Source organism: Homo sapiens, chromosome 16 (assembly GCF_000001405.40).
Source record: "Homo sapiens chromosome 16, GRCh38.p14 Primary Assembly".
Classification (NCBI taxonomy): Eukaryota; Metazoa; Chordata; class Mammalia; order Primates; family Hominidae; genus Homo; species Homo sapiens.
In genome coordinates this window covers 58,131,204-58,143,727 of record NC_000016.10, presented here as the reverse complement: position 1 = coordinate 58,143,727, position 12,524 = coordinate 58,131,204, and the positions used below count along the sequence as shown (strand labels likewise).

Genomic DNA, 12,524 nt, shown 5'->3' with positions numbered 1-12,524 from the left:
GTGGAGTGGGATGCTTGAGAGAGAGGTCTTTCCACAGGAGCAGATAGCTGGGGTGGAGTGAAGTCCTGGATCATCGAAAACAATGATTGGAGCTGGTGATGATGTGGAGAAATTGTAACTGTCATACATTGCTAGTGGAACTGGAAAATGATGCAGTCACTTTGGAAAACAATTTGGTAGTTTCTCAAAATGTTAAACATAGAATTGCCATAGGACCCAGTAATTTCACTCTTAGGTATATCATATGTCATCATAAAGACTTATATGTGAATGTTCATAGCAGCCTTATTTATTTATTTATTTATTTATTTATTGAGACAGAGTTTTGCTCTTGTCACCCAGGCTGGAGTGCAGTGGCACGATCTCAGCTCACTGCAACCTCTGCCTCCCGAATTCAAGTGATTCTCCTGCCTCAGCCTCCCAAGTAGTTGGGATTACAGGCACACGTCACCATGCCCGGCTAATTTTTGTATTTTTAGTAGAAACAGGGTTTCACCATGTTGGCCAGGCTGGTCTCGAACTCCTGGCCTCAGGTGATCCACCTGCCTCAGCCTCCCAAAGTGCTGGGATTACAGGCATGAGCCACCACGCCCAGCCTCATAAGAGCCTCATTCTTTACAGTCAAAAAGTAGAAATGAGCCATATGTTTGTCAACTGATGAATGGATAAACAAAAATGTGGTACATTCATACAATGGAATGCCCTTTAACAACAAAAATAACAGAGTCCTGATTGCTGCAGTGTGGATGAACCTTCCAAACATTATGCTAAGTGAAAGAAGGCAGGCACAAAAGACCACATTTTGTACAATTCTATTTAGATAAAATATTCAGAAAAGGCAAATCTATACAGACAGAAGCTAGATGAGAGACTCTTTTTCAAGGATGAAAGTTATGGAAAATTTGTGATGGTGTTTGCAGAATTCAGTAAATACAAGAAAAATCATTTTGCACTTAAAATGGGTGAGTTTTCTAGTAAGTAAATTACATCTCAATGAAGCTGTTGCACACATAATCAGAAATAGTTATTCATGAGAGCCATGGAGACAGACAATGGGCCAGGCATTAAATATTCAAGAGATGACCCAGGGATCTGAGATGGCTGCAATGAGGGAGGGGTAGTGGGTAGCAGAGGCTGATGGTATGAGTTTCAAAGGAGCTGGGGGTTTTTGGAATGAGAGAGAGGCAATGGTCTGGGAGGAGATATGAAGAAAAAGGAGGACCTACATCCCACCACTAGACCCAGTGGTTGAGGGGTACAAAGGAGAGCCTACCTCACTTTTTTTTTTTTTGAGATGGAGTTTTGCTCCTGTTACCCAGGCTGGAGTGCAATGGCACAATTTCAGCTCGCTGCAACCTCCGCCTCCTGAGTAGCTAGGATTACAGGCATGTGCCACCATGCCCAGCTAATTTTGTATTTTTAGTCGAGATGGGGTTTCTCCATGTTGGTCAGGCTGGTCTTGAACTCCTGACCTCAGGTGATCCGCCTGCCTCAGCCTCCCAAAGTTCTGGGATTACAGGCGTGAGCCACCTCACCCTGCCGCCTACCTCACTTTAAGAGAGTTGAAGGGAAAGCCATGCCTTCTGGGAATAAGCAGACAAGATGGAGGAGGGAATGGTATGGGCAGGAAATAAGGTGGGAAAGTGCTTATTTATGGGAAATGGCAAAGACCAACCTGGCTGAATAGAGTATCAGTAAGGGAATGATATGAGGGAAGCAGAGACATATTCATCCAGAAGAAACTCAAACTTCAGGGACCCTCACTTGCTGGGCCCCTTCCAAGCACTTGGGAGGTGACTTAGTGATTTATTCAAGTGGTCCACATGGTTTTGTAAAATTTGTAAAGGTAAGCAGAGGATTTGGGTCTCAACAAAGCTGAGCTGGTGAATCTCTTCATAGGGTATTTTTTTAAAAGCTGAGTCAAAATGGAACTTCCCTCCCATCAGAAATAAAGGCAGTAGTACAGAGTATATAGTGATAGCTGGGCGTGGTGACTCACGCCTGTAATCCCAGCACTTTGGGAGGCCAAGGCAGGTGGATTGCTTGAGCCCAGGAATTCCAGACCAGCCCAGGCAACATAGCAAAACTCTCTATCTACAAAAAATACAAAAATTAGCTAGATGTGGTGTGTGCACCTGTAGCCCCATCTACTGGGGAGGCTGAGGTGGGAGGATCGCTTGAGTCCAGGAGGGAAAAAAAATGGACTTTTCTTTTCCCTCTTTTAAAATGGGACTCAAACACAATAGAATTAATCAGGATTTGGAAGGCACAAACAAGTGGCAGTACCACCAATAGCAGCACATATTCGGCAAAGTTATTGTGGGGAGAATATTTATTATTTTCATTGTTATATATAATTTCATTGAATAAATATATGAAAATTTATCCATTCCAATGTTGATGGACATTTGGGATGTTTCCAATTTGGAGCTATTATAAATGCTGTTGCTATGAACATTCCTTTTTTTTTTTTTTTGAGATGGGGTCTTGCTCTGTCACCCAGGCTGGAGTGCAGTGGCACGATCTCAGCTCACTGCAAGCACCACCTCCTGGGTTCATGCCATTCTCCTGCCTTAGCCTCCTGAGTAGCTGGGACTACAGGCACCTGCCACCACACCCAGCTATTTTTTTGTATTTTTAGTAGAGACATAGTTTCACTGTGTTAGCCAGGATGGTCTTGATCTCCTGACCTCGTGATCCATCTGCCTTGGCTTCCCAAAGTGCTGGGATTACAGGCGTAGGCTACTGTGCGCAGCCGACTCTAACTTTTTTCTTTCCAATTTTATACCTCATAATTCTTTTTCTTACCTTATTGCACTGGCTATGACCTCCAGTACAATGTTGAATAGAAGTGATTAGAGTGAACATCCCTATCCGGCTTCCAACCCCAGGGGGAATGTGCTCAATTTCACCATTAAGTGTGATGCTAGTTGAGATAGTTTTGTAAATAGCCTTCTTCAGAATAAGAAAGAAAGAAACTGAAACTGGGTATGGTGGCATACACCTGTAGTCCCAGCTACTCTGGAGGCTGGGGCAGGAGGATCCCTTTAGACCAGGAGTTCAGGCTATAGTGTACAGCATGATTGCATCTAGGAGTAGCCACTGTACTCTAGTCTGAGCAACATAGCAAGATCCTGTCTTGGATCTTGCTATCCAAGATAGCAAGGAAGGAAGGAAGGAAGGAGGGAGGGAGGGAAGAAGAGGGGGATGGAGGGAAAGAAGGAAGGAAGGAGTTTGCTGAAAGTTTTTTCTTTTTTTTTTAAGAGATGATGCCTTGCTCTGTCACCCAGGCTGGAATGCAGTGGCACCATCATAGCTCACTGTGGCCTCAAACTTCTGGGCTCAAGAGATTCTCCTGCCTCAGCCTCTTGAGTAGCTAAGATTACAGGTACAAGCCACCACACCCAGTTCTTTTATTATTTTAAGTCATAGATGAACATTTAAACTTTTTTTCCTACATCTCTTGAGGTAATTATATTATTTTTCTCCTTTATTCTGTTAATGTGGTAAATTACACTGATTTATTTTAATGTGTAAAGCCAACCTTGCATTCCTAGAGTAATTCCTACTTGTTCATGATATATTATCCTTTATTTATATTTTGCTGAACTTGGTTGCTAGTCTCTTATTTGGAATTTTTGCATCTATGTTCATGAGAAATATTGACTTGTAATTTTGTTTTCTTGCGATTATTTTGTTAAGTTTTGGTATCAGGGTTATACTGATTGGTAGAAGAAATTGGGGCCAGGCCTGGTGGCTTATGCCTGTAATCTCAGCACTTTGGGAGGCTGAGGTGGAAGAATTGCCTGAGTCCAGGAGTTTGAGACTAGGCTGGGAAACACAGCAAGACCTTGTCTCTAGAAAAAATAAAAAAATTTAGCTGGACATGGTGGCATGTGCCTGTAGTCCTTGCTACTAGGAAGGCTGAGGTGGGAGGATCACTTGAGCCCAGGAAGTCGAGGCTGCAGTGAGTTATAATCACGCCACTGCACTCTAGTCTGGGTGGTAAGGCAAGACCCTGTCTCAATTTAAAAAGGAAGGAAGGGAGGAAGGGAGGAAGGGATGGAAGGAGGGAGGAAGGGAGGAAGGAAGGAAAGAAGGAGGGAAGGACGGATGGGGGAGAGAAGGAAGGAAAGAGGGAAGGAAGGAAGGAAAGAAGGGAGGGAGGGAGGAAGAAAAAGAAATTGGGAAATATTTTCTATAAGAGAATGTGAAGATAGTATTATTTCTTCTTTAAATATGTGGAAGAATTTAATAGTAAAGCCACCTGAACCAGAAGGGTTCTTTGTGGGAAGGATTTTTATTTTGCATTTAATTTCTTTAGTACATTTGGACAATTCAGGTTTTCTATTTCTCCTTGTAAGTTGTGTTATTAGGTACATACACATTTATAATTGTATCTTCTTAAATAATTGACTGTTTTGTCATTATGAAATGTCCCTGTTTATCTATGGTAATATTTCTGTGTTGAAGTAACCTTAGCTGACTAATAATACAGCCACACCAGCTTCCTTATGAGTAGTGTCTGCATAATATATCTTTTTAGAATTCTTTTACTTCCAACTATTATGTATCTTATATTTAAAGTATGTTTATTTTTCAAAAAAAAAAGAAACATATAGTTGAATCTTATTTTGTTTTAATCCACTCTGCCAATCTAGATATTTTAACTGCATATTTAGTTCATTTACACTTAATGTAATTGCTGGCATAATTGAGTTTAAGTCTATTATCTTGCTGTATGTTCTGTTTTATCCCATTTGTTCTTTGTTCCTTTCTTCCTTTCCTGCCTTCTTTTAGTTTAATCAAGTGTTTTAAATCTATTTTGTCTCTCTCTTATCTCTTTAGTTATACCTATGTTTGCATTTTCTTTTAATAGTTATTCTAGATCGCTATGTGCATGTTTAATTTATTATAATCTACAGATGTTCCTCAACTTATGATGGGGTTATGTCCCGATACGCCCATTGTAAGCCGAAAATATTGTTAAGTTGAAAATGCATTTAATCATCCCAATGAACACATTGTAAAGTTGAAAAACTGTAAGTCAAACCACTGTAATCAGGGACTGTCTGTGCTTTGAATTAGTATTTCACCACATCTTATACAATGTGTAAAATGTCTAAAACCTTACAATAATGTCTTAGTCCTTTTGTGTTGCTGTGAAGGAATATCTGAGGCTGGGTAATTTATAAAGAAAAAGGTTTATTTGACTCACAGTTCTGCAGGGTCTCCAAGAAGCATGGTGCTAGCATTTGCTTCTGGTGAGGACCTCAGTCTGTTTCCACACATTGCAGAAGGTGAAGCTAGGCTAGCATGTGCAGAGATCACATGGTGAGAGGAAGCAAGAGAAGAGGAGGGAGGTGCCATGCTCTTTCTAACAACCAGCTCTCACAGGAACTAATAAGAGCTCCCCAGTCCCAAGAGGGCATTACTTTACTCATGAGGGATCCCGCAACCATGATCATAGTACCTCCCATTAGGCCTCACCTCCAACATTGGGGATCAAATTTCAACATGAGGTTTAGGGGAACAAACTTCCAAACTATAGCAAACAATATAATTCCATGCCCCCCATTATGCCATTGTTATGTAATTTTACTTTTATTATGTTATAATTATCACAACTATTGTTGACTTAAACATATAGTTTAGTCTTAAATAATTTTACATTTACCTTTACCAGTGCTCTTCATTTCTTCTTACAGATCTGTTTCTCTTTAGATCATTTTCCTTCAATGTGGAGAACGTCCTTTAGTATTCCTTGTAGTGTGAATCTGCTGGAAATGAATTAACTTTTATTTATGTGAAAATGTGTTTATCTTCTTCAGCTATCAAATGTTTGAAGACCTTTTTGTCTCAGTATAAAATTCTGGGCTGTAATTTGTTTTTCGGTATTTGAAAGATGTTATTCCATTGTTTTTTGGTTTCCATTGTTGCTGTTGAAGAGTAAGCTGTAATTTTTTTTATTTGTTCCTGTGAATTTAATGTGTTTTTTCCCTTTAGCTGCTTATAAGGTTTTTTTTGGTTGTCTTAGGTTTTCAGCAGCTTGACAATACCTAGGTGTTCTCTCTCTTGCTTTCTCTCTCTCTCTTTTTCAAATCTGCTTGAGGGCTTCTCAAATCTGTAAGTTAACATGTGTAATCAATTTTGGAAAATTCTCAGTATCTTCAATTTTTTTTTCTGCCTTATTCTCTCCTCATGGAACTCAAACTACAGATATGTTAGACATTTTGCACATGTCTCTCACACATTGTTCTTATTTTTTTTCTTTGTGCTTTAGTTTTCAAAATTTTTATTGACATGCTTTAGAGCAGCAGTCCCCAACCTTTTTGGCACTAGGGAATTGTTTCGTGGAAGACAGTTTTCCACGGACTGGGGACAACAGGGGTGGGGGTTGATGGTTTCAGAATGATACAAGCTCATTACATGATGAGGGATGAGAAAGGAATTCAATTACATATTTTTCCATATGGTTGTTCAGTTATCCCAATACCTTATTAGCAAGTCCCTTGCCCCATTTTTTCTTATTGTTTATTCTTAGTAAGATGAAAGCTGGCCTGGCGTAGCTCACGCCTGTAATCCCAGCACTTTGGGAGGCCAAGGCGGGTGGATCATGAGGTCAGGAGATCGAGACCATCTTGGCTAACATGGTGAAACCCCGTCTCTACTAAAATTCAAAAAAAAAAAATTAGCCAGGTGTGGTGGTAGGCGCCTGTAGTCCCAGCTACTCGGGAGGCTGAGGCAGGAGAATGGCGTGAACCCGGGAGGCGGAGCTTGCAGTGAGCACAGATCGCGCCACTGCACTCCAGCCTGGGCGACACAGTGAGACTCTGTCTCAAAAAAAAAAAAAAAAAAAAAAAAGATGAGAGCTATTGATTTCTGTATATTATTTTTATATATTGATACTTTATTATCTATTTATAGAAATTCCTTATTTTTTCTGTTGAGTTTTCCAGTTATATAATTATATCGTCTGCAAATACAGTTTTACCTTTTCTTTTCCAATTCTTATGACTCTAATTGCTTTTTCTTCTGTAATTAAATTAGCTGACACCTCAAATACAATCAATATCTATTCATGATAAACATTTCTGTTGTTGCAAACTAGAAGTAGAAAATAATTCCTTCTTTTCACTAAAGGTTATATACCAGAAACCCAAAGGAAACATCATATTTAGTGGGGGAAACCTTAGAAGCATTTCATTAGAAGGAATAAGGCAAAGATGCCAACCATTACCCCTAATGTTTAACATAGTCCTGAGGATCCTGGCCAATGCAATAAGGACACCAAATAAGAGGTATGAGCATTCAGAGAAAAAGGATATAGCGGCCAGGCGCGGTTGCTCATGCCTGTAATCGCAGCACTTTGGGAGGCCAAGGAGGGCAGATCACCTGAGGTCAGCAGTTGGAGACCAGCCTGGCCAAGATGGTGAAACCCCGTCTCTACTAAAAATACAAAAATTAGCCAGGCATGGTGGTGCACACTTGTAGTCCCAGCTACTCAGGAGGCTGAGACAGGAGAATTGCTTGAACCTGGCAGGCGGAGGTTGCAATGAGCTGAGATCACACCAGTGCACTGCAGCCTGGATGACAGACTGAGACTATCTCAAAAAAAAAGGAAAAGGGATATAGCTTTTATTTTGTGCAGTGATCTGATCATCCACATAGAAAAATCAAGAAATCACAAACTATTAAAACTAATAATTTAAAAGTTCAACAAGATGCCTGGATACAAGATTAACTTTGAAAAATCTGTGGTAGTTTTCAACACCAGCAATAACCAACTAGAAAATATAATTTAAAATAAGATATTATTCCAAATATCAACAAAAATTTATATCTAAAAAAGTAGGTATAAAATATATCTAAGAAGACATAGATATAAGAAGATATAAAAAGTAGATGTAAAAATATCTAAGAAACAATTTAATATAAGACCTCTATGGAGTAAGTTTTAAAGCATAAAGACAGATGATGACCTTAATAAGAAATAGAGAGGGCCGAACACAGTGGCTCACATCTGTAATCCCAGAACTTTGGGAGGCCGAGGTGGGCAGATCATGAGGTCAGGAGTTCAAGTCCAGCCTGACCAACATGGTGAAACCTGTCTGTACTGAAAATACAAAAATTAGCCGGGCATGGTGGCACGTGCCTGTAATCCCAGCTACTCAGGAGGCCGAGGCAGGAGAATCGCTTGAACTGGGAGGCAGAGGTTGCAGTGTGCTGAGATCGCACCACTGCACTCCAGCCTGGGTGACAGAGTGAGACTCCGTCTCAAAAAAAAAAAAAAAGAAATGGAGAGATAGTGCATATTTTTTTCGTAGGGATGACAATATTATAAAGATGTTAATTCTTCCTAAACTAATTTATAATTACAATGCAATCACAATCAAAACTAGTTAAATATTTTTGAGAAAGTCAGCAAACTTACTGTAAAATCTAAATGGAAGAATCAGGTCTGTGAAAATTAGCCAAATTAGACTTGAGAAAAAAGACAGAGATTCGCCTGTCAGATATTAAGACACGCTATAGGCCAGATGTGGTGGCTCACGCCTGTAATCCCAGCACTTTGGGAGGCTGAGGTGGATGGATCACCCAAGGTCAGGAGTTTGAGACCAGCCTGGGCAACATGGCAAAACCCCATCTCTACCAAAAATCACAAAAATTAACTGGGCGTGGTGGGCTGCACCTGTAGTCCCAGCTACTCAGGACTCTGAGGTGGGAGGATCACTTGGGACGGGTAGACAGAGGTTGCAGTGAGCCAAGAGCGCACCATTGCACTCCAGACTGGGCGACAGAGTGAGACTCTGTTTTTAAAAAAAAAAAAAAAAAAGACACACTACAAAACAATACTAATACAATCTAATAATCTGGGTCTTATTGGTGTAAGAACTTTTAAATAGACCAGTGGACTAGAAGAGAGTTCAGGAATAGATACATTGTATATATGGAAACTTAATATAAAATAAAGGTGGCTTCATAAGCCATTCAGGAAAAAATAGTTTACATATGACATTAATGAAACTGGCTTACTCTAAGGAGAAAAATAAAACTGATTTCCTACATGCCACATGCAAATACTATCTTTGGAAGAACTGAAACATAAATACGTAATATAAATCTATGCAGTTAATATGCAAAGGTGACCTAAGGGTGGGTAATAACTTCTTTAAACCTCTAAGTACAAACCATAACACAAAAAAGAAAGGAAATAATTAAATAAAAATTAAGACTTCTGTTCAATGAAGACATTGACAAATGAAATTAACAATTGACAGACTGGGAAAAGATGTTTGCAGTGTCTAAAACCAACGAGGGATTCTTAATACCTAGACATACTATTTTCTATTGCAAATCAGTAAGGAAAAGAAAGGTACCTCAATAGAGACTTGGGCAAAGGATACCAAATGGCAATTTTAAAATAAAGAATGGGCGGGCGCTGTGGCTAATGCCTGTTATGCCAGCACTTTGGGAGGCCGAGGCGGGCAGATCACTTGAGGTCAGGAGTTCGAGACCAGTCTGGCCAATATGGTGAAACCCAATCGCTACTAAAAAATACAAAAACTGGCCAGGCGCGGTAGCTCATGCCTGTAATCCCAGCACTTTGGGAAGCCGAGGCGGGTGGATCACCTGAGGTCGGGAGTTTGAGACCAGCCTGACCAACATGGAGAAACCCCGTCTCTACTAAAAATACAAAATTAGCCGGGCTTGGCGGCACATGCCTGTAATCCCAGCTACTCGGGAGGCTGAGGCAGCAGAATCTCAGGAGGCTGGAAGTTGTGGTAAGCCGAGATCACGCCACTGCACTCCACTCTGGGCAACAAGAGCACAACTCGGTCTCAAAAAAAATAAAAAGTACAAAAATTAGCCAAGCATGGTGGTGGGCACCTGTAATCTTAGCTACTCAGGAGGCTGAGACAGGAGAATCATTTGAACCTGGGAGGCGGAGGTTGCAGTGAGCTGAGATTGCACCATTGCACTCCAGCCTGGATGATAGAGCAAGACTCCGTCTCCAAATAAAATAAAAATAAAAGAAAGAAACTTAAATGCCTATGAGGAGATAAGCCAGCATGTTAGTAATCAGACAAATGATAAATAAAATGAATTGTCATTGTATACCTATCAGACTGGCAAAGTTCAGAAAGTGAAATAACATCCATTATTGGTGGTTGGATGTGACTGCAGAGATCCTCATGCATTGCTAATGTGAGTGTAAATGGGTACACTATTTTGGAGAGCCATTTAGTCACATTACACGTTGTATATGCATAGATGAATACCTAGAAATTCTGTTACTGCATGTGTATGCAAAAGAAATTCTCGGCCAGGCGCGGTGGCTCACGCCTGTAATCCCAGCGCTTTGGGAGGCCAAGATGGGTGAATTACCTGAGGTCAGGAGTTCGAGTCTGATCAATATAGAGAAACCCCGTCTCTACTAAAAATATAAAATTAGCTGGGCGCGGTGGCACACGCCTGTAATCCCAGCTACTCTGGAGGCTGAAGCAGGATAATCACTTGAACCCAGGAGGTGAAGGTTGCAGTGAGCCAAGATTGCGCCATTGCACCTTGCACTCCAGCCTGGGCAACAAGAGTGAAACTCTGTCAAAAGAAAGAGAGAGAGAGAGAGAGAGAAAGAGAGAAAGAAAATTCTCATATAGGTCCTTAAGAGGACAGGTATAAGGATGTCCATTACTGCAGGCATGGACAAATAAAATGTGGTTGGGGCACACCTGGAAAACTGAGCAGCAGTTACAAGCAATGGATTAGATGCACACTGGTACAATGGATGGATCTTAAAAGCCACAGTGCTAAAGAATGTGCTCAGTATGTGTCTATTGTATCTTTATACATATATAAATATTAGAGATGGGCTAGAGTGCAGTAGCTATTCACCATCTTCATTATAGCAGCACTGCAGCCTCTACCTCCTAGGTTCATGGGATCCTCCTGCTTCAGCCTCCCCAGTAGCTAGGACTACAAGTGAGCCCTGTGCCTGGCTTTTTTTTTTTTTTTTTTTTTTTTTTTTGAGTCAGAGTCTTGCTCTGTCACCCAGGCTGGAGTGCAGTGGCATGATCTCGGCTCACTGCAACCTCCACTTCTCAGGTTCAAGTGATTCTCCTGCCTCAGTCTCCCTAGAAGCTGGGACTACAGGTGCCCACCACCACAACTGGCTAATTTTTGTATTTTTAGTAGAGGTGGGGTTTCACCATGTTGACCAGGCTGGTCTCGAACTCCTGACCTCAAATGATCCACCCACCTCGGCCTCCCAAAGTGCTGGGATTGCAGGCATGAGACACTGTGCCCGGCCGGTTTTTTTTCTTTTTCTTTGTAAAATGTGTGCTGCTTATTTTTATTTTATCTTACTTTTTTGAGACAAGTCCCACTATGTCGCCCAGGCTGGTCTCAACCTCCCAGGCTCAGGCGATCCTCCTGCCTCAGCCTCCCAGTTAGCTGAGACTTACAGGTGCCGCCACTGCGCCTGGCTGTGTCTGTCTTAAAACAAAACTTCCATGAATGTCTGTATGTATTTTTTAACAATTGGATTGAGGAAGGGGAATGACTTAAGTCAAATGGATAGGTGAGGATGGCAAGACAGGAAGACATGAACAGACAATACACAAAAGTACACAATTATTTCTGAATAATGGCATTATGAGTGATCATAATGTTATTTTGCACAGTTTCCTCAATGAACTTAATATTAGATTACATTAATCAGAAAAAAGTAAACTTGGCCGGCCGCGGTGGCTCATGCCTGTAATACCAGCTCTTTGGGAGATGGAGGGTCACAAGGTCAGGAGTTCTAGACCAGCCTGGCCAACACAGTGAAACCCTGTCTCTACTAAAAATACAAAAAATTAGCTGGGCATGGTGGTGGGCGTCTGTAGTCCCAGCTACTCAGGAGGCAGAGGCAGGAGAATTGCTTGAACCCAGGAAGCGGAGGTTGCAGTGAGCCAAGATCGCTCCATTGCACTCCAGCCCGGGTGACAGTATGAGACTCTGTCTCAAAAAAAAAAAAAAAAGAAGAGAGAAAAGAAAAAGAAAAAAAAGTAAACTCACATAAAGTAATTAGACTCAGAACCTTTCTGGAGGGGAGCAATCACAACCTTTATTTTCCTCTATGATTATTGTTTATTTGGTTTTCTAGTTCTAGACCCAAAATTGGTCACTTTTTTCCTAGAAAATAATTTATCTCATACAGATTTTCAAGGGGGTAAAGTTGTGTGTAGCATTTGAATAATCATCGTAATAACTCTTCTACAGTCAATTCTTTCTTTAATATGTCTGCTTTTCTTAACTGGAATTTTTGCCTAAGATATTTTTAACAATTTAATAAAAATCAAAGGATACATTGTTCATCAGTCTAAGGTATAGCCTCTCCAGAAATCATCCAAAAATGACAGTTTCATATAAAAAGTTTTTGACTTTCTACAGTAATAAGATTCATATATTTTCTCACTATGTCCAGAAATTCTGGCTGGATTATTTAGGGGGCTGATGTGAGGACTGAATGAGTTAAT

At 40.7% G+C, this 12,524-nt stretch overlaps 1 long non-coding RNA gene across 4 annotated transcripts in view; it reads right to left on the bottom strand.

Annotated features, from left to right (window-relative positions):
* The window catches only part of LOC101927556 (uncharacterized), a 31,541-nt gene that overhangs the window by 16,697 nt on the left and 2,320 nt on the right, over positions 1-12,524 (bottom strand). For 2 of the 4 annotated variants that reach the window (NR_188515.1, NR_188513.1), the window contains exon 2: positions 5,678-5,777. This is a non-coding gene — a long non-coding RNA (uncharacterized LOC101927556). Of the gene's footprint in view, positions 1-5,218; positions 5,312-5,677; positions 5,781-12,524 lie in introns of all 4 variants that reach the window. The other 2 variants (NR_188516.1, NR_188514.1) reach the window with 2 other exon arrangements.